The sequence below is a fragment of the Homo sapiens genome, chromosome 2, assembly GCF_000001405.40.
Source record: "Homo sapiens chromosome 2, GRCh38.p14 Primary Assembly".
Taxonomy (NCBI): Eukaryota; Metazoa; Chordata; class Mammalia; order Primates; family Hominidae; genus Homo; species Homo sapiens.
The window spans coordinates 136544244-136567682 of record NC_000002.12 but is presented as its reverse complement, the minus strand read 5'-3'; the positions used below and the strand labels follow the sequence as shown (position 1 = coordinate 136567682).

The following is a 23439-nucleotide window of genomic DNA, read 5'->3' as shown; positions in this document are numbered from 1 at the left end:
CTCCAGAAATAGAAGAAAGTGTCTAATTTCAGCAGGATTGGTGTATTCTCCCTCATTCTTGGTGGAAAGAAAAGTGCTTGAGATAGAGAAGCTGGGACGGGAGCAGAAGGAGGCTGTACACCTCCCCTCAGAGGAGCAGTCCCTCTATAGAAGACCAAAAGCGGGCAGAGAATATTCAAACTTGCCCCTGTTTGCCAAGGAGACTGAGTAAATGTCCAGCTCAGCATGAAAGTGATAAAGCCCAAGTGGAGTCCACAGACTGCTCATCCTCATTCTGTCTCCATGCTAGAGAAGCAGGCCAGGTCTTCATTTATGAGAGAAGGGATTTATGAGAGATCGACCAAAAAAAAAGATAGAGAGAAATGATGACAAGTGTGAGAAGACTGACTTATGAAGGGATAAGACGATAGAAGAGGAGAGGGAGGAAAAAAGAAGAGCAACCAATGGAGCCACCCAAGAAGTTTAGATCTTAGAGAACAGGAAGGATCACAATGACTCTTCTTGCATTAGTAACAATAACTACCATTTATCAGGCCCTTGCCATGTGAGACAGGGATGAATGGATGGATGAATATATAAATAGGTATGCAGCTATGCATATATGTACATAGATGTCATGTAGTTTAATTCCAGTTAACTTAATCCTTATTTAGGAAGAGTCACTAAATAACTCTTGTTCCTAACAAAGTGCCTGAGAGTGGGTGCAACACTGCTCAGCACATTAACCATATTTACCGTCTAAGAGATAGAAAGCAACCTGTCTCGTTTGATGAGGAAGCCATAAAGTTTTAGGGAATGGGAAGTAAATCAACGCTCACTGTAACTTCCGCCTCCTGGTTTCCAGCGATTCTCCTGCCTCAGCCTTCCAAGTAGCTGGGATTACAGGCACCTGCCACCACGCCCAGCTAATTTCTGTATTTTTAGTAGAGACAGGGTTTCACCATGTTGGCCAGGCTGGTCCCAAACTCCTGAAATCAGGTGACTCACCTACCTTGGCCTCCCAAAGTGCTGGAATTACAGGCGTAAGCCACTGCGCCCAACCCAAAAAAGATATTTCAATACCCATTGTCCCCCTGCAGAATCTGAAATTCTCATAGCTAATGACTTCTCCAAGGTAGCAGAACCAGAATTTAAACACAGTTTATCTGGCTCCAAATCCTATGCTGTTGATTACTATATCAAGAATATGTACACTTAGTTGCATATTTTCTTGTTTAAATTTGTCATCTTGAAATATGACACTGTTCCAATGATGTTACCATTCATGAAAATCCCCTAGGGACCCACTTTTGAAATTTCCATTCTAGCCTTGAGTACATTCTTTTTTTTATTTTATTTTATATGAGCACTCATTTATTTAAATCAATTGGAATAAAATTTCTTAAGGGATTTTTTTTATTATTATACTTTAAGTTTTAGGGTACATGTGCACAATGTGCAGGTTAGTTACATATGTATACATGTGCCATGCTGGTGCACTGCACCCACTGACTCGTCATCTAGCATTAGGTATATCTCCCAATGCTATCCCTCCCCCCTCCCCCCACCCCACAACAGTCCCCAGAGTGTGATGTTCCCCTTCCTGTGTCCATATGTTCTCATTGTTCAATTCCCACCTAGAGTACATTCTTGATTATCTTCAATAATGACAGAGCCTTGTGCTTTCAGAGCGGAGCTTACTTAGGGGACAGCCAGAAGTCACACAGAGCAAAACCGGTAAACACTGTAGGTGACACTGTTGGGTGATAATCATGTAAGGTTTAAGAGAAAACAGCATGATTATTTTATGTGTTTTATTGACTGTCTCAGAGAAATTCCCAAAGGAGAATTGCTATCAGATTCTGAGCAAATGTCCCATTGCTGCAATAAAAAGGAACCTAAGATTGTGCCTTCAAACTTCAACATTGAACTGGTATAGTTAAAATACTATGCTTGTGGCAATAAAGTCACACTTTATTCATCCTTCAAGGCAAATCAATTTGAAGTTGTTTTAACTACTGCTGAATGGAACATTCTATAAAAAGAAATAAAAAAACTGAGTGAAAACCTAATAGTCTTTGATGTTAATTCTGTTAGGTCACCTGGTGCCCTAACTTCTTGCTGAAAAGTCCAAAGAGAAATGATAATGACCTTGGGACATTATTGCCCTTAATTTGAAAACTTCTGATCATTGTGAGCACCATTATGGATGATAAGACATTTGGGACAGAATGTTCAGCCCACCTCCTGTGCTTAGACTGACTGACCTCTGACAATCTAACAGGGTTTTCTCTAATACATTTGAAGAATGGCATCATATTTGGGCTGGAGAGGTTCTTGTGCTGTTTATGGTCCATGTAGCAGGTGCTCTCCTCAAAATGGTTACTGTTTTTCTCAAAAGCTGCCAATTTTCATTACAGCAGTGAACTGGAGGAGGGCTGAAATGTCAGAGGAAAAGAAAATTACTGGGCAGCCCCCTTTTTCTCCCATTAGAATTTCAGCAAAGCAAGTGAGGCAAGGGCAGACAAGATAATGAAGGGGTTGCACAGGCATTTATTTCACTTTTATTTTTCCTTTGAGAAAGTGTTAATAAAATTAGCAGCGTTCCAATAACAGCAAGGATTATAAAAGATACATTTATCAACAATGTACAATTTTCCTACTGGAATGTATAATAAAACTTTTCAAATGCAAATCTCCTATCAATGAACGTACAAAGGGGCAAGATAAAAAGGAGGAAAATGACATGAAGCTAATTCTCTGTCATCTCTGAAAACTAGATGGATTAACATTGTTTAAAGTTAACTGATAAATCTCCCAAAACTTAATTTTAAACTTTCATTCAGTTTTCTCTCTGTCATGGCTTTAGCCAAAGCTTCTTACAAAAATATCATGCTAATTCCGCTGATTTTCAGGGATTGGGTCAAAATCAGCAATGCCTTCTCATTGCCTACCATACAAAGCCAAAAATCCTCTTATATCAGGTATTTTCCAACAATCAAAGCCCTTTGTAATCCAGTCCACACTGTCTCCCAAAGTCGCTTCTCCTGTTTGTTCATAGCACATCCCAGCTGAAAAAAAAATGATCCCTTGAAGGTCTATGATGCTCTCCTCTCTATCTTATTTATGTCTAACTCTTCTTCATCCTCCAAAGTCTTTACAACTAAGATGCAACCTCTCCTCAGCCTATGCATTAGGAAAAGCCTAATGCTTTTTCCTTCTAGGTTTCACCCACCTCCTACCCTTCTCACATAGTGTAGACCACCAAATCAGAACCTGATAACAAACCACCTTGGATCGATCACAACTTTTTCATGGATAGCACTTTCTAAGAAGAACAGCAAGTTTTCATTAAGCAGGGACTGCACTGGGCACAAACATGTGATCAGCATTTGTTGATAGAATGATGGATTCTGTAGTCAAATTCCTCCTTCTGAGGAGGAACAAACAAATCACAAGACAGGAAGGAAGCAAGGAAGGAAGGAAGGAAGGAAGACTAGAAACTCCATAAACTGGAAAATCAATGTTTAAAGTACTAAGAGTTTACTAGATATATAAGAAAAAATACAGATAACCAATGTACTTTATATTAAAAATGTTTTTGAAAAGTGTGACAGTTTGTTAAAGGTTGATTCAGCAAGTCTTAATTTAAAGGGTACTTCCAGAAAAAGCAAATATAAAAACATAAAATATTTCCCCAAATCAAATACTAAAACTGTAAATATGCTAAAGAATTTCTCCCCAAAATCATTCTAAACTCAAAAGAGTAAACTAAAGTCATTATTGAGACATTCAGACATGCTGATGATGTTGCTCGCCCCTGCTGCTAATCAATGAAAACACTGAAGTCTTCCAGGAACATCATGAGCACCGTTTTCACACAACCTTTGAAGTCTCCATCTGTCTTTCTACAGGCAAAAGCTGCATGTGCCTTTCATGACAAACCCACGGAGATGTTGCCTTTGGCAAGAATGATGCCAAAGTTTCTACCAAACCAAAATAATAATTCCTTGAAAATGCCAAGTAGCAGGTTAGAAAGTTGAACTGGTGCTAATCTGGAGATGCCAAAATCCATGATATTTTGTGTAATGAAACAGTGTCCATCTTGCTGAAGTAAACCCCACGAGTGCAGCACCGTTTCTCACCTCGTCACATTCACGGCAGCAAAGTTTCATAAACACAAGGGCTGAGATTCAGCCCACAGCAAGTCCCCAAGAGTGATTCTATAACTGTAACATGTGGCATGTCAGCCAACTTTTTCATCTTTTACTTAGAACTTTCTACTCAGCAATATTTCTGAGAGCAACTCCGACTTGGGGTGGTTATAAATTTCAACATGTTACCAAGACATGCTTTTAGAAGATTAAGTACCAAAATAATACATGATGCATGTCTCTAACCCATTCCCATCCCACAAAATATCCTTGAAAGCATGTATGTATTTGTATGAAAGGTCATAGAAATAGAGAAGACACAGGCTCTGAAAAATACTGAAAACAAGAAAAAAGAGAAAAAAAGTAGCACAGCATGGGAGATGACTACATTTCTATTTCCATCTGAACACAAATGACCGCAAAAGAATTGGCACAGGATGACAAATTAAAATCAAACTTACTCACCCAGGATGCAGATGTCACACCTAAGTTAAAAAAAAAATCTGGAGACCAATTGTACTTCAGTTAGGGAGTCAAATTAGCATTGATCAGAACTACCTTCATATCACTATGACTAGATAATGCCTCCACCGTCCATTTTGCTTTGTCAATTGGCCTCTTACACATGCAAAATACATTTATAGAAGGATGATCAATCATTTCTAAGATTCCTCTTGTGTGCAACAACTATTTACTGAGCAATTGATATATTTCAGGTCTTGTGAATGAGACAGACCCTATCCCTGCCCTCAGGGAGCCTATAACCCAACAAGCATAAAACCATCAATTAGAAGTGAGATTTGTGCTACTATAAAGTGCAGTATTTTATAAGGGCTTAAAGAAAGATATTCCAATGTAGACAACGCGATCGGGAAAGACTCCACTGAGGTAATTAAATCCAAGCTGAATTTTAAATGGAGTATGAATTGGCTAACTGAAGGGGGGTGGGGATGAGAAAATGTTTCCAGCAGAAATAACTACATCTGCCAAGAAAAAAGGCAGGAAAGTACGGACTGTGGGGCAAATGGGGGCAAGATCAGGAGCAAGGACACTGAAGTGCTCTTGCAGTAAACCAGGAGAGAGAGTAATAGCTTGCACTAGGTGGATGGGAAGAAGAAAACAGATTCAAGCAATATTTAGGACGCAGAAACCATTGGTCTCTGTCATGGACTGGATGTGGAGAATAAGGGAGAGAGAGGAGCCAAGGTAGACTCAGAGGTTACTGGTTTGAGAATCTATGTTGGTGTCAGGGCCACATACCAGGAAATTTCAGGGCTGAGGGCTGGGTGAATAGAGGTTACAATACTGAACATCAGATTTAATGTCCTGAAAACAGGACATGTTTTTAGTTCACTTAGACCTAGAAATGAGTTCACAAAGAAATTTAGAAACTTCTCCATTGATCATAGACCTACATAGTTTTAGACCAGTAAGGAATTATGCAGATTTTCAAAGTGAAATGGCAAGTCTATGGGAAGTGGCCACCCAGAATTTGAAGGTAGAATATTAGTTCTAACAATTTAACTGTTACTAGAATCATTAATATTTCTAGAAACAAGTGATTTATCCACTTACGTTCTGGGCACATGTTCCAAAGTTCTGTTAAAAATAGATTTCACACTGAATGCGAGTATTCTTGAGCAAACAAATCCATCAGTTGCTACAGAATTTATGTTAAGAGTTCAGAAACCAGAATTCTTCTTGTGGGAATGCCAGGGGTCTTTTGAATTTCTTCATTGAACAGGGACCCCTGGAGTTTTTATTGATTGGACAAGATCAAGCAGAAAGCTTTCATTTACCCCAACTGTCTACTTCCCTTGTCATATTCCTTAAAAGATAATTCACTTAATTATTTTAGCCCTGATAAGAAGTGTGTGGTAATAACATTTTTTAAATTGCCTATTCTTAAACAATTCTTTCACAGAAGAATAATCAATTCCTGAAGCCCCTGGATCACACCTCACCTTCAGCTACAGCCTTTGCTCAGCACATGACTTTTTCTTTTCTTTTTAACGTCACAGGTTTCAACTCCAAAGAGCACTGCCAAATCTCTCTCTTCTCTATCATAATCTCCTCTTACTGCTTTGAATGAACATTTCCTCCTGGGGCCTATTATAAATAACACAAGAGAGCAGCTGGGAAAGAGAAATGGGCACTTTACAGGTGATTTGGAAATGCAGAGAAACACAAAAATTCTGGGCAGAGAGAGATGCAGGCACAGAAGTGAGGTTAGGAAATATAGGACAGGGCTCACTATATATGGCCTTAATGTCCCTGTGACACATAATTTCTGGTAACAGAGTTTAATAAATCCAGACCAAATTGATAGAGGTGCGACTCTCAACAGTGCCTTGGCCCAAAGGCCCCTCACCTGTGGGGTAAGGATGGGGAGGGGGTTGTGCTGCATTGCAACGTTGCAGCAAATATTTATGCACAGCAAAAGCCCAGGAAAATTCTATTTAATGGAATAAACAAAAGGATATTCCACCGTTACAAGCCGACCTGTTTATGTGCCTGAAATTAGTTCTTTGGAGGCAGCCCGCTCTCTTCTGCCAATATTCTGGGACTCCTATGGAAACAATATTTTTTTCTCTCTGCTATTAAGCACTCAGTTTTCAGAGGCAAGCAGAAGGGATATTGAGGTAATTTTTAAAATGCTCTTCATAAAGAGATTTAATTAACAACTATTAGCCCACAAGTCAGTTATTTAACAACTAAACTGTCACTCAGCCCAGTAAAGACCAAGGATGCCTGATTTCAGTCAATGCGTAAGTGTTACATTGGCCAAAAAGGTTAAGGAGAGAAAGCTCTACTGTGCTTTGCCACAATTTTTGTCCATGTGACACACCTCTTCTTAGTCTGGGGTTAATGATGCTAATATAGAGACTGCGGTCCATTACACCGCAGTCTTCAATTACATTGAAGCCTTCATCTCAAATGAGAAATTACTCAGGAAGCTAGAACAGAGGAAGTTGTCACTTGGTTTGTGTTCATCTGGGGGATTTAGAATCAAACTCTAAGTCTTGATTCTGGTGACAGAATCCTTGCCAAGCCTCCTTTGATAGCCTGTCCAGTGTCACAGGTCCTATGGCACCAAGGCCCTGCTTTTCCATTATCATTGACCTCACCTACCCCTTTCTGCTCCAGTGACTGGCATCTTGTCTGTTGTCTACCCGATAGTTGATGGAAATATGCAATAGACACAGTTAGAGAACATATTCATTAGACAGCTATTTATTGAATACCTTCTACGTGCAGATTCTGTTGTGGGCACTGTGAATATATCTAGAAAAAGTTACGGACTTGTATGCTCATGGGGAAAACAGATAACAAACAGATGTAAAGTACATTTCACGGCAAATAGGGAAATTTATTAAAATGGCACAAAAAGGAAGCAACAAAACAGACACCCATATGGAAATATGATCCCCAAGTCCCCACAGGAATGTGCAGCCACTGGTGATACTGCCCATGATGGGAGAGGGTACAAGAAAGTGTAAAGTGGCTTCCTTTTTCATCAACATGGCTGTCCAGAGTGTCTATAGGCTTTAGCTGCAAGCCTACATCCTCAACAGGTGCAAAAGGAACTACTTGTGTGGATTATGGGACAAAAGAAATAAAAATCAGTTTTCCTGGCCTAATATTCCTCAGCAGACCCTAGCCTTAGGCCTGATTGGAATTCCCCCTAAGTCAGGGGAATTTCCTAATGCCTTTTTCATGATCACCTTCAAGAGAAATGCAGGAAGAGGAAAGCAGATGGCACTCTGTGAAGACATTTTTCACTGAATATTGCAATGACTATTTCATACTAGAAGTAACATTACTCTCATTAGGTTAGATCTTCAGTTTTAGATTTGGTTTCAAAGATACAAGGAATCAGAGAAAATGTAGATGAATCAATGAGACCCAGATAGAAATAGGTTTTGATTTCTAGTATTGGTTAAATGCTTTCCTAAATAAGATAAATTAGCAAACACAATAATGAGATAGCCATTCTTCTGTCTTAAGAGAAAATAAGCTATGGAAAGAGTTTATTATTGTATCTGAGAAGGGGTGGACCACTCATAGTTTAAGGACAGGTGTCATGGATAAACTCATCATAGAGGAAGCTTATTGAAGACCTCAACATGGTGACAGTAGTTAACAATACGGTACTGTAGATTTGAAATTTGCTAAGAGGGTACATCCTAATAAGAAAGTATATCACCAAAAAAGGTACTATGAAGATATGTTAATTAGCTTAATTGTGGTAAACATTTCACAATGTATAACAAAACATCATGTTGTACACCTTAAAACATATAATTTTTAATAATACCTCAATAAAGGTGAAAAAAATTAAAAAGAATGCCTCTGGATATTTGGCTGAAGAGATATTTCGAAGTTACAGAAGATGCACTTGTAAGGGCTTTCCAATAACCAAATTGCCATATGACCCAGCAGCCTCCATTTCCTCTACAGAACACAGGTCTGATGCCTGTGGCACCATCCAGGCATGTGACTATGAGGCCGCTTTGAGAAGCCCTCACATCTACCAAGAGCATGTTGAATATTTCTTAGCTTGTTGTTAACAGTTTTACATGCTGTTGAAATTATATAGCTAAATATTATCTAAGCAGATAAAATGTGAGTGAAAAAAGAGATTTAATTATATGATAATTAAATACTTTGGAAAGATTCCCAAGTGTGTTTAATTAGGTGAGGGTAAAAGATTTGTAAAAGACTGGGGAAATGACCATACATATCTAGAAGGGTTCTACAGTCAAACTGCTTTACAAAGGTATAGGTTTTCCTTGCATCTCAAGAGATAGAAACTGAGTGTTGTAGGCAATGTGTATGCAAGAGTATTGAATCCTCCCAAATCCGCCCCCATCCCATGAAAAAAGACCTTGACTTTATATCAAAAGGTTGGAAAAGGGGTATGCATTCACAGAATTTTATACTCAAATCAAATGGTGAGCTACGTGTGCACAATTTATTCAAATTCTTCTTTTTAATCAATCTTTAAAACAACTACCAGTCCTGTCACATTAGATAAGAAGGCTCTTATCCACCCACTCATACCTTACTCCCCAGAGCTCACCTGAGAAATTACTCAGGAAGCTAGAACAGAGGAAGTTGTCCACCGGTTTGTGACAGAAAATGTAACAAAGAGGCCAGTGCTAGAGTTTCTCTTGGTTTCTGTTGGTTTTCATTTTTAATCTTTAAAAAAATATATATGCCATGTGCTTTTGAAGTTTCTGGGTCTATGTAAAATATTTATAGAAACACAGCACATAATTAAAATCAATAGCAACAAATAGGAATCATAAATTACCTGCCAAGCTGAGCAATTCACCTTCAGCAGGTCACTACACAGATTCAACACAGCCAAGCTCTCAAACAGTCAGTTAAGCAAACAGCGTGTGTAGGATCCGGAACCATGGTTCTGGTGTGATACACAGAGGAGATTAGACATGGTCCCTTTCTCTGCAGAGCTTACAGTTCAATAATCAAACTGGGGCCATCAGGTTGCATTTAGTTTTCTGTAATGACAGCAAATCAGGATTAAGGTGAAGAGGAAGGAGGAAACGAGCCAATTTTGTGCTTCCCTCCTTCAGTAATTCCATATTCACTGCCAAATGGATGTTGGAAAGTAGAGATCATGAGGGTGGAAATATTTTGTAGACTATCACTGTAGAAGGGTTTTTCTTAGATTCATAAAATGTTAAAACAGGAATGGGGATCTTAGAATCCTGTCTCACTGCCTTGTTTTACAGATATGGAGACCAAAACACAAAGTCATTAAGTGAGGTAACCCTGCTTATTAGGAGCAGGGTTAGGAGCAGAAGTCAGATATATCCTACCTCTCTTTCTAGAATGCCGCACAGCACTGCTCTCCCTCTTTTTGGCTAACATTATTTAGCATGCTTCTTTTTTTACTTCATTTCATTACTCCAAAACTATCCAGAACACACTTTGATCAGAACCCCTAAAAGCTCATTTCTAAACAAAGTCAAAATTCCCAGATAAGTTCATTTAAAAATTGCAACTGGTTGAAGAAAAGTTTAACAAATTGAAGAAAATGTCAGCTTTGACAAAAATTTCATGCCAATTGTTTGGTTTCATATAGACAAAAGACTTACAGTTCTGAAAGAATTGCTGACTGAGCTATCTATCTTCAGAATGCACACACCCCATTTGCCTGGACAGAAGAATTACTCAGGTTTCTTTCACTCAGCATATACTCCCTCCCCTCAAAAAAAAAGTAAACCTCACTTATTACAAGAACTTGTTGTTACTTTTTGTAATGCTGGTGTCTGATTACTTCAGTGTAGCAACTATTTTGTTAATGCCTACGGTTGCCAATCCAAGGCACTATGTGAATACCCACCGAGTACCAGTTTAGTGTTGTGACATCAAGAAAAGGATCTCACACCTCATGAAGCTTGCAATCCAGTCCTAGAAACTGTACCCAAATCACAAACACAGATTGGATGGTGACAAGGGATACAATGGAGGTAAGAATGACCTGGAAGCACAGAGAAAAAGAGAGATATGGGGGGAAATTTCATAGACAAGATTATATTTGAGCTGGCCTTGAAAATGGGAGAAGATACTACCATAGAGATCAACCACCATGACTTTTTTTCTCTGCTCTTTACCCCCTGCACATCTCCTAACCCCTTGAAACTTGCATTCCATTCCTCACCTCTAAATTAGAACTGTTCTCAACAAATTCTCCAGTGACCTCCTAGTTGCCTGATTCAATTGTCATTTTTAGTCTTGACCCCAAATTATCTCTTTGGAAACCCTGTTGTTGATCTTGACCTTCTTGAAATTCTTCTCTGGTTTTCATCATCTGCTCTCTCCTGCTTCCCTCTCTCTGGAAGCTCCCTCTCAATCTCCTGGTCCTTGGTAACATCTCGCTCATTTTTTTTTTTTGGCACAATACAGTCTACCTAGATAATTTTACCACCTCCACAACTCCAATCCCTTACGTTGACACTGAAAACATGCAGATTTAAATTTCTAGTTTCCTATCTCTTTTTAATTAACAAATCATAGTTGTATAAATTTATAGGCTAAAATGTGATGTTTTGATACATGTCTACAATGTGGCATGATTACATCAAGCTAGTTAACTTATGTGTCTCCTCGTTTACCTTTCATTTTTATGATGTGACTTTTGAAATTTGCCCTCTTAGTTATCTTGAAATTTATAATACATTATTATTGACTATAGTCACCCTGCTGTGCAGCAGATCTCAAAACATATTCCTCTGATCTAGCTGAAACTTTGTACCCTTCGATCAACAACTCCCTTTGCCCTCCTTGCCCCTGGTAACCATTGTTCTACTCTTCACTTCTATGAGTTCAACTGTATTAGATTCTACATATAAGTGAGATCATGCTGTATTTGTCTTTCTATGCCTGGCTTATTTCACTTAACATAATGTTCTCCAGATTCATCCATGTTGTAAAAAAAAAAAAAATGACAGAATTTCCCCCTTTTTAAGGCTAAATAGCATTCCATTGTGTACAACGTATGTAAATGCATGTAATGTGTGTAAAATGTATAACATTTTCTTTATAGATTCATCCACTGATGGACACTTAGGTTGCTTCCATACCTTGGTAAATAACGCTGCAATAAACAGGGGAGTAGAGATATCCCTTCAACATATTGATTTCAGTTCCTTTGGATATATATCCAGAAGTGGGATTACTAAGTCATATAGTAATTCTCTTTTTAGCTTTGTGTGGAACCTCCATACCATTTTTCATTATGGTTGTACTGATTTACATTCCTACCAACAATGTATGGTCCCCTTTTCTCTGAATCCTGTCCGACATTTATTATCTTTCATTTTATTTAATAAAAGATATTCTAACAGGTGTGAGGTGATCTCTTATTGTGATTTTCATTAGAATTTCCTTAATGATTTCTGATGATGAGCCCTTTTCATGTACTGGTTGTCCATTTGTATGTTTTCTTTTGAGAAATGTCTGTTCAGGTCCTTTGCCCATTTTTTTAATTGGGTTGTTTTATTATTATTGAATTGTTTGAGTTCCTTATCTATTTTAGATATTAACCCCTTGTTGGATGTATGATTTCCAAGTATTTTCTCTCATTCTGTGGGACCTATCACTTTCTCAAACTCATATTTCCAACTATTCACTGAACTGACAATGTGGGTAGCCTATAAATGCCTGGAACTCAGCATGTCTAAAGCCTAATGCATCATCTTTCTCCCTAAACTTCCTCCTCCTCTTTTGTTCCTTCTTTCTACTTAAAACTCTAACGCATACTCTTTATGCTTTTTTATATTCTACTCCCTGTGCCAGGAATTCTCTTCTGCATATTAACTACCAAGAAAAGTTCATCCTTAAATGATTAACACATGTTTACCCTCTTTTGTAACAGCATAGGGGGCAATGTAGTGCTCTGGAAAAATAACAGATTCAACTTTGAATCCTGATTCCAGCATTTATTATGCAGTCATTTGACCTTGACCCCATTGAGCTTACCTTGCCTTGGCTGTAAAATATCTACCTCAGAGGGTCATAAGCTTCCACTGAGATGATATATATGGAAAGCCTAGTGCAAAAACTGGCACCTAGCAGGTCCTTCATGAATATTCATCGTCTTCCCCTCCCTCCCTACTCTGGGCTGCCAGAGCATGTGTACCTGTTTGCTGCAGCCCTGGCTATGTGGTGTTCTCATTCTAATCCACTAGACGATGAGCTCTTCGATGAAAAAGCCTATAACCCAGCACCGCCAAATGTAGTCAGTACATGCTTATTAAACTGCAGTATGATTGGATATAGCTCAGCACTCCATTCTAGGACTCAGGATCTTCAGCCAATGTCCCTGGGGAAATGATGTTCCATTAAGAGAAAGAATGAAATCAAGGATGAACTCCTCTTAGGAACAATGTAAAGAATTCAATGCAGGGCATGTTAACTTTTAAGGAGCAGAAAGAAGACATCCAAGCAGGAAGTTGTGGCTGTGCCTGGGTGGAGTGGGGCACACATTCAAGGAAAAGGGGAAGGAACAAGAAACATCAGCAAAGGAAGGGGGTAGGGGAGCAACATGAGAAGACAACGACAGAGAAATGGAAAAAGGAAAGAATTTCATTAAGAAAGCAGAGGGTCGGTGGTGCTGAATAAAAAAGACAGGTTCCTAGAATTAGAACAGTAAACAGGCTCTGGGGTTCTGGTCAAGGAAAAGAAAATAGTTTCGATAGAAGCAAGAAGGAAGAAATAGATTTGATAGAAGCAAGAAGACAAAACAGATTGCAAGGGGTTAAGAAGTGCGTAGGTGACAAACTGAGGGAAAATCTCCAAGGTAACTAAATAATGGTCTAGCATTTGTATGTGTTCAAATGTGTGGCGTTTTCAATTCCTAAAGTATGATGCAAGAGCCCACGTTTACTGCCTCCCAGTTGTCCCTAGTCTACCATGCCATGCCACATGCAAGTGTCTTTTTGTGTCCTCTTACTCTCCCCACCCCCACCCCATCACAGCTACAGGACTCTTATCTACACATCGGCCGGCAGTCTCACTTGATGAGAATCTGATGGATTCCTGCCTCGCATCGTTGACAATTTCATCACTCAGAAGACTGAAGAAGCCACCACAGGAGCAGCTTTACCTCAATTAATTTTAATCAACAGCCTGGCTTGAATGATGGAGTGGAAGTGATAGGAACTTTGGGGGGAAAGTGATGAAATTGTCTTGTAATAGTCAAGAAAAAGAAAGCTGGTCATGGTCAGAAATAATTCAAGCAGTTTAGAAAAGTAGATTTTTATGTTCGACTCTCCACCCTCCAGCCCCAAGGCATGGAGTTCCTAAATAGAAAACAATGGATCCTGAACCTAGCTCTATTACATATTTTTAAAATTAATTACTTGGGTAGACTCAGGCGTAATAAAGTTAGGATGGCACAAAACAGGAGGAGAATCCCTCAGCACTGGATTGGGACCTCTTGATCACTCAACAGGCTATCAGGATGAACTGAAACTAATGAGATTAATTTTAATTAGAAAAATATAAAGATCTGTCCTAAGATTAAAAAAAAAGAACAGAAGAAATACAGTATGGAATAGGACAAAGACATTAAATAAATATAGGCTTTAAAAAAGTTATGAAGGAATGTTAAAATTGTTAAAGATAAGTACTTAAAAACCGGAAACAATCTATAACCTCAAACAGAAGAAAACAGAATAGGAACTTAAAAACAGAAAACAGGAAAGGTGAATAAAAGTACAAAGTACATGGCATAAGTAAGTCCAATTATATTAGGTTTTCAACAAATACAAATAAGCTCACCTATTCACATTCAGATTATCAAATAAGATTTTAAAAAATCAAGCTATATACTATATATGAGACACCCCTAAAACAAAATAATACTGAAAATAGAAAATAAAGGCAAAAGATATTCAAGAAATACCTTAGCAAAAATATTCTAATATGGCAACATTTTTATAAGACAAAATAGACTTTAAGGTGAAAAGCATTATTAGGAACAAATAGGGCCACTATACATTAATCAAAGAAACTACTGGAGGAACAGATAAAAATCATCAAATTGCCTGCAGAAATGTGAGATGGAAGAGACTTGCTTTAATAGCAGTTCATGTGAAAATGATGGTGTTTTGCTTTCAGAAGTTTCCTAATGGCCAGGGAGTTAACATGGTCACCTCCAAAAGTCACTGCAATCTTTGCTAACACTAACAGTGTGCAGAACAGTGCAAGTTAAGACCCACTTTCTCTGCACTGTCAAAATTTATCTGGAATGGAAGCTGAGATAGACATTGTCATACTGGAGAATTTCCAGCAGAGGTTGACCAGGATGAGAAAGCATTACCTAAGAAACAGTTGAAGGAGAGGAGATATCAGGAGAGGAGATATACAGGGAAAGTATAGAGATACATGTCAACTAAAAGTGGGCACAGTAGCAAGTGATGGAGCCAAGACTTAAACAGAGCAGATCTCACTGCAGACAGACTCCAACCATTCTGATCTACTCCATCCCGCATTGCCTCTCTATAAAAATACTGGAAGAAAATATAAGAAATAGTTTTTATAATATGATAGTGAAAAAGACTTTCCTAACCATAACATGAAGATCACCGCTATAAATAAAAAAGAGGACTTTTTTAAAAAGGTAAATTTTTGAAAGTTTGCATAGAGAAAGATACAATAAGCAAAGATTAAAAAATAAACAACAGAGTGACAACAACAAATGCTGGTGAGGATGCAGAGAAACTACAGTACTCATACCGAAATGGCCAGAATGGAAAATGGAAAATAGTTTGGCAATTTTTATAAACTCAACCTCCAATAGCCATACAACCACCCACTAATTGCATTCTTGGGCATTTATGCTGGAGAAATTTAGACTTATGCTCACACAAAAACCTGCAAATAAGTGTTTATAGCAGCTATAATAGCCAAAAACTGGATACAGCCCAGATGTCCTTCAGTGAATAAATGCTTAAACAATTTAACAAATTGTAGTATATCCACAGGACATCATCCATGTTGTATGTATCAATAGTTTGAAAAAAGTCAATCCCCAAAGGTTACTTAATATATTTTTCTGTTTACATACTAAGTAGCCTTTGATTACTTCCTGTGATTCCATTTTTGAAATGACAAAATTTTAGAAATGGAGAAAAGATTAGTGGTTCCTGGAGTTGGTAAGGGGTTGGGAGGATGTGGAAGCGAGGTGGGTGCAGTTTTAAAAGGGCAACATGGCCGGGCGCCATGGCTCATGCCTGTAATCCCAGCACTTGGGAGGCCGAGGTGGGCGGATCACTAAGTCAGGAAATCGAGACCATCCTGGCTAACACGGTGAAACCTCGTCTCTACTAAAAAAATACAAAAAAATTAGCCGGGCGTGGTGGCGGGCGCCTGTAGTCCCAGCTACTTGGGAAGCTGAGGCAGGAGAATGGCGTGAACCTGGGAGGTGCAGCTTGCAGTGAGCCGAGATCGCACCACTGCACTCCAGCCTGGGCGACAGAGCGAGACTCTGTCTCAAAAAAAAAAAAAAAAAAAAAAGGCAACATGAGGGATCCTTGTGTTAATGAAACTGTTCAGTATCTTGACTATGGTGGTGGACACATGGACCTATACATTTGATAAAAATATATAGAACTATCAAAAAAGACATATGATTACAAATTTTGGCCAGGTTGTAGAAAAACTGGAACCCTCAAACATTGCTAGTAAGAATGTAAAACGGTGCTATCACTCTGGAAAACAGTTTAAAAGTTATTTAATGTTAACATGGAGTTACCATATGATGAACAATGGCACTCATAGGTATATATAGAAGTGAAATGAAAACATATGTCCACACAAAAACTTGCACATCAAGTTTCCACAGTTTTTATAGCAGCATATCTATAATACTACCAAAGTGAAAACAATTCAAATGTCATCATCCGATGAATGGATAAAGTGTCCATACCATAAAATATTATCTACAATAAAGAAGAATGAGGTACTGATACATGCTACAACATGAACCTTGAAAACATTATACTAAGGGAAAGAAGCCAATTGCAAAAGACCACATATTATATCATTCTGTTTATATGAAGTGTCCACAATACACAAATCCTTAGAGAAAGAAAGTAGATTACTGGTTGCCTAGGGCTAGAGGGAGAGATAGAGAGTGACTGCTAAGGGTAGAGTTTCCCTCTGAGGTAATGAAAACATTCTAGAGTTAGATAGTAGTGAAAGCTGGATAATTTTGTGAATATACTAAAAACCATTGAACTCTGAATTAGTGAATTTTATATTTTGTGAATTATATCACAGTAAAAATGTGAATAAATTGTATATAACTAAATACACACACACACACACACACACACACACACACGCGTACAAGTAAAACCAAGGAATTCTGAATAGGATAAGTGAATTGTATCAATGTCAGCATCTCAGTTGTAATACCATATGACTATCTTGTAAAATATTACTGTTGTGAGGAACTATGTAAAATGTATACAATATTTCTCTATATTATTCCTTACAACTGCATGTGAATCTAAAGAAGCCACTGCAAAAAATTCACATTCACCATATGTAAAGCCCACACACTCGCCCACCAGTGCCAGAGAAACAATACTACCTTCTGCTTCTTTCTGCCATCCATTCATTTATGAGCAGCAGAGTCTAAATTAGATGCCTGCTGGCAAAGGATTCTGGGAAATGGTGTCCTAGGCTTCCAGAATCTCTGATATAGGAGATCATAGAAGGGAAGAGGGATGAATGCCAATGTATTATATATAAAAATATTTATACCTAAAATACATATTTGAATTTACATATACAAGAATATAAATTTATATACACTTATACAGCAATTCACATACTATTCAAATTTATAAATACGTATACATACATATATATGTATTTGTGTGTATATTCTAAACTCATGGCATAATGTTTAAATCTGTGTCTGAAATTGCATATACAATACCTTAGTCCGTGTTTCTCCCCCACTCCCAAAGTAACATCTGCAACAAACTTTGATGTGTGGGTCATTTATTCGGGATGATGATTCCAGGAAGCAAGGGAGGAATAGGAGGACTGAACAGAGGAGGAGAGAGAGAAAATCGAAAGATGTATCACACCATTGATGACTATTGGGAGAAACTGATTGTTCCATCTCTTTCTGAGAAGCCCAAGGAACAGAAGGTCACTTATCTTTGGTCAAAGGTTTAGATTGCACATGTTGAGCAGATCCCTTAGACACATCACACTGACACCATTAGGTCAGAGAAGCAAGAGGTACAATGGTCTTGCCCAAGGTGAGGTGCTGTTGGCTGACGCCTGTGGGAGACTGGTGGAAGCTTTCATAATATGGGGTGATGATGAGAGGGTTTGAAGCCATGCACAAGAGGTATCTGAATACAGGATGATCCCAATTACATGAATTACATTATTGGACAGACAAAAAGTCTGAAAGGAAATTTAGCAATATGTTAGTGGTGGGTTATAGAATTATAGATAATTTTTGCTTCTTTTTTAATATGTTCTTATACTTTGAAGTTTTGCACAATAAGTATATATTGTTTCTGTAGTCACAAAATGCAACCAAAATTACATTTAAGGAGCTACGCCCTATGGTTTAAGGATGAAAGTTGATACGAAGACCACAGGATTTGGATATAGGATTCTTCTACTGGATGGGAAAAGGGACCAAATGACCTCTCAGATCACAGGCTAGGATTCTATGAAAATCAATTTGGCAGAAATGCCCAGAGGAGTACCAGGCACAAAATAGGCCCTTGACTCACATTTGTCAAAGGAATGAATGTATGTACTGCAGCAGCACAGATAGAGTTGGAAAACTTTCTGCTAGAAGCCCACAGGGTCTTAGAGAAAACAAACAAAAAAAAGAAACTCAAAAAGATAAAGTTACCATAGATAAAGTTACCATATGACCCAACAATTCTACTCCTAGGTATATCCTCAAGAGAAATGAGAACATATATCCACACAAAATCTTGCACACCCACAACAGCACTATTCACAAAAGCTAAATATGGAAACAATCCAAATGTCCATCAACTGATGAATAGATTAACAAATTGTGGTATATCTAAATAATGGAATGTTATTCAACCATAAAAAAGTGACATAGTGATCCATGCCACAACTGGACAAACTTTGAAAATATCCTAAGTAAAAGAAGCTAGATGCAAAAGTCAACATACTGCACAATTCTATTTATGTGAAATGTCCAGAAGAGATAAATCCATAAAGGAAAAATAAACAGATTAGTGGATGCCAAGGCCTGCCGAGAGGAAAGAATATGGAGTGCTTACTTTGTAGATAATGAAGTTTCTTTGTGAGTAATGAAAAGTTTGGGGCATTAAATAGTGATGGTTGCACAACATTGTAAATATACTAAAAATCACTGAATTGTCCACTTTTAAATGGTGAATTTTGTGTTATTTGAATTTTATTCCAATCAAAAATGATAGTAAACAGTTTAAGGGAACATATAATGTGTGGCAAATAATGGTATTAGAGTCTAGGGTAGAGCGAGAGAGATCATATAGGTATGGGGTCATCAGGATGGCTGCACGGAGTGGGTAGGAGTTTGGGACTTTGAAGAAGCGGGATAATAGACATTCCAAAAGATGCTCAATAAGTGCTTGTGGAACTGAATTCAGCTATAAGCACTGCAGGAAGAGGTATCCACTAAGGCATTAAAACAGCAAGGGGCAGGATGAGTCCTGTAGATAGTCATCCTCATGGATATAGAAGATTTTAACAGTGGAAGAAGGGTGGCAGATAAGGCAGAAGAAAAAAAATCATCATTCATGTAAACATTTTTAGAACAAAAAATCTGGCCCAGATTAATGTTTTCTCCAATTTCAACTGTTTTTTTTTTCACTTCTAATTATAGAAATAATATAAAAGAAGGCATTCTGGTATAATGGCTTAAAGGTTCTGCACCAGTCGGACAGCCAGGCTGCAGAAAACATAACCCCAGAGTTTCAGTGACTTACAACAGCAACAGTTGATTTTTCATGCCCTCCGCATGCCTGCTATGGGTGGGCTGTATCTGTACTCTATGTCTTCTTCACTCTGGGACTAAGGTTACCTGGGCAGCCTCCACCTGGAATTGTCATCACAGCGGAGAACAAGGCAAACTGTGTACCGATCTTCAAGCTTCTGTTCAGAAAAGACATCCCTTCCACTCTCCTCTCACTAGTCAAAGTTGGCCACGGACCCACACCCAAAGTCAACAAAACAGGGAAGGGGCATTAAACATGGGTAACTGGAAAAACTATTTACCACAGGCTCCAACCCTGTCCCTGCGACTTAATGGCTTTTAGTAAAGTTGCTTATATTCTCTGAGCCTCAAAATCTTCATCTATTAAATGGGGATGATTACTCCCATGCTATGAAATTATGATGAGGATTAAATGAGATCATGTCAGTAAAATACTTGGTGCAATGCCAGGCACATAGTAGTTATTCAATAAAATAAACTGCTCCAACAGATGATAAGCTCCCCGCAGGCAAGCACTTTTTACCCATTGTTTACCCTAGCACAGCACCTAGCTCACTGTAAATATTTCAATAGATGCTTAGTAGAAGAGTGAATAAAGGAATATGACTGTATGCTCATTTTTGTAAAACTGGAGTACACAAGAAAGTATTTAGAAAAAAATAAACTTACTATTTTTAATTAATGGCCAATGAAGGGGAAGTAGGCCCTCCTCTTCCTTATCACTGATGAGCAAGTTATAGCTCCTTTTTAATTCACAGCCTTTCTTGCCCCAGCTCACATCTGATGCAGAAATCAAGGCTGAAATGTGCAGACTGTGGATGTCTTTTGGAGAATTGAGCACTGTCTGAAGAATGTTTCTAGCTCAGCAGAGGTCTGGCAATAAACTATCCTTATGGATCTCGGTGTCCAGATGGGGTGCTGGATTGCGTGGGAGTCCCCAGAAGGTGAAGACAAGAGACAGGAAATAGAAATTACTGCCTGGCCTGAGGCCTTTCCTGGGATGGGGTCTCCAAAGAATAGAACCTTCTGCCAGAGTTCCGTCTGCTTTAATAATCTTTGCCAGGGTTCCACATACTATCATCAATTCAGGATAACAGTGAGATTATTTTTGAGATTTAAAAAAGTTTTATTTAAAAGCCCATAATTTTAATTTATACCAGTAGATATGAGAAAGAGAAAATGCAAATAAAAATCACAACTAAATCTCACCTTAACTAAATGCAAAACCACATCTACTTATTTTTTGTAGTCTTCTTTCAAATGTATGAATTATACAGTAAATTTATAATGTAAAAATTTTTATTACTTGTAGACCTTCTGATTGGCATGGTCCATTATTACAACTGTTTACTACAGGTAAGATAATGTGCCCACCAGGCACACACACATGCCCAAGTGCTCACACATACTCACACATACTCATTACCCATGTTACATGTATGAGACGAAACATAATGGCTGTCTAAGAAATAGAAAGCTTTGTTCTTTGCAGACTAACTGGTAGAAGCCATAGGGAAACATTTTTCAGTTAAATGGGAGGGAGACTTTTCAAACAGATGGTCTTTAAAGCCCCTTAACCCTGAGATGTGATGATATTGGTAATAGCCTGATTTAACTTGAGGAGCCCACCTGGCAATTCTTCCATTTTATTCAGGGTTCTTTCTGTTCTCTGTGGGTCTGACAACAAATGCTTATGGACACCTATGCTCTGCTGTCACTCTGTGAAGATTTATGAGGGACACTTGGGCCGGGACCATAGCCCCTCCCTCTGAGGGGTTTGGCTTCTACCTGGGCAGCTGATGGACAGCCATGGGAAGCCCAGTGAGGCGGCCCACAATGACACACAGCTCACAGCATCACAAGGAGCGGGGAGGTTACTTCCAAGGAAGTGCCACAGATGATTAATGCTGTGGAAATTCAGTAGAGACATGGATGAATATACCAAAATTCACTGTGGCTGCTTCCTAACAAATTTAGATTAAATATGCTATCAGGAAAACAGTTTTCCAGTTCCCTCAGACAGAAGTTTCAGAAAAATCTCTACCCCACTCTCAAGTCCCCAACTCCACCCCATACCAACACCTCATACACATACACAGGTGTGTGCAAGCACACACACACGTGCACGCACACACACATATTATCACTGTGCAGGGAAGGCTTTTCAAAGGATGGCTCCTGCATGGTGAATCCATACCACCTTTGTGTTTCTCTTCACTTTTGTCCCCTTTGGTCTGATCACCTGTTCATTGCTCAAAGCCAAATGCTTCCTTAGAGAGCTTTAGAATGTACTTGGACAGTCAAACACTGCATCTGATCCTCTTGTAGAATACAGGCAAGATATGAGAGAGATTTAGAGGGTTTCTTCCCAGTTTAAAAATATGTATTCTATATAACTCATAATCCTTTACAAATAGAAAATCAGTAATACAATACACCAAATCTATGCCAACTCAATTGGAAGAATAAACAAGTTCAACAAAGTCCTTTAGATGCAATTTATTTGGGGCTTACTGCAACATTTTTTGTTATATTGTAGATCTTGTAAATTCCAGTAAGTCTATCTGAAATTGCAAACATATTAATATTTCAAGGAGAAATTATGAACTGAGTATTTCTGTTTGTTCATATTTATAAAATGCAACAATGGACACATCTTTAAAATCAACGGCTGCATCAACCTTGTCCCTGAAGTAGAAGGGAGTGGGTTTATAGAGGGGAAGAGCTAATACTAAAGCCATGGCTGGGGATAGTGGCTCATGACTGTAATCCCAGCACTCTGGGAGGCCAAGGCGGGTGGATCACTTGAGGTCGGGAGATTGAGACCAGCCCGGCCAACATGGTGAAACTCCGTCTCTACCAAAAATACAAAAATTAGCCAGGCATGGTAGGTGCCTGTAATCCCAGCTACTTAGGAGGCTGAGGCAGGAGAATTGCTTGAACCCAGGAGGCAGAGGTTGCAGTGAGCCAAGATCGTGCCATTGCACTCCAGCCTGGGCCACAGAGTGAGACTCTGTCTCAAAGAAAATAAGAAGTAAATAAATAAATAGCCAATGAACTAAGCATTTTCTCTCCTGTTGAAAGGCTGAAGATGTTCTTCCAACTTTTCATAGGTAGTCAAACAGTGAACATGATTCCTTCAGAGAAAGGACCCAAGCTGCCTACAAGCTCCAGTTTGGCATCCCCTCCCAAAGTAAGCATTTGGTAATTCTCCTTTAATGTATTCAGTACTACATAAAAACCTGCCATAAATTCATTAATTTGTTTCTGAAGCTCTTCATATGTCTGTCTAAAATTATCTCTTTGAGAGAGTTTTGAATACGGAGGATTCTGAACACATGGAAGACATACAATTGCTCTTTCAATATTTTAAAGGAAAAAGTAGACTTATCACACCTGACGTCAAAAGGTAGACATTAGGGTAATAACATTTGGCTTAACTGACAGCAGGTCTTTGAACAGCCAGTGAAGCCCAGTAGTGGCAGAAGCTGTCTTAGGGAGTAGTGACCTAAGTGTTCAAACTCAGGCCCAGCAAATGCCCAGCAAGGATCATCTAGGAGCCTGGCCTGCAGGCTTTGCAGGCCTCTTGCACACCTGAGAGTCCCTTCTATGAGATCCCAGAATTGCTTTATCAAGGAAGAGGGACTGGAGCTGGGTTGTGACCATCGAGGAGTAGGTAGGAATGAATGGACAAAATTCCTGGGACAAAGGCATGAGAAAGAGCATAGCAGTCAAGTCCATCTAGAGTATGGAGGGACTCAGCCTTGTATCTAA

At 38.7% G+C, this 23439-nt stretch overlaps 1 long non-coding RNA gene and 1 pseudogene across 1 annotated transcript in view, besides 1 other annotated feature; one reads left to right on the top strand and one right to left on the bottom strand.

Annotated features, from left to right (window-relative positions):
* The window catches only part of LOC105373633 (uncharacterized), a 31074-nt gene extending 8222 nt beyond the window's left edge, over positions 1–22852 (top strand). The window contains exons 2-3 of the long non-coding RNA XR_923360.3: positions 20978–21021; positions 22779–22852. This is a non-coding gene — a long non-coding RNA (uncharacterized LOC105373633). The remainder of the gene's footprint in view (positions 1–20977; positions 21022–22778) is intronic.
* Positions 21331–21501: a silencer, noted in NCBI's record as "fragment chr2:137303752-137303922 (GRCh37/hg19 assembly coordinates)". NCBI's record gives its function as "represses an EF-1alpha promoter that drives an FKBP-Casp9 reporter gene in an ReSE screen in HepG2 liver carcinoma cells {active_cell/tissue: HepG2}" and the evidence as "EXISTENCE:reporter gene assay evidence [ECO:0000049][PMID:32094911]".
* Positions 22144–23027, bottom strand: SMC4P1 (structural maintenance of chromosomes 4 pseudogene 1; annotated as a pseudogene).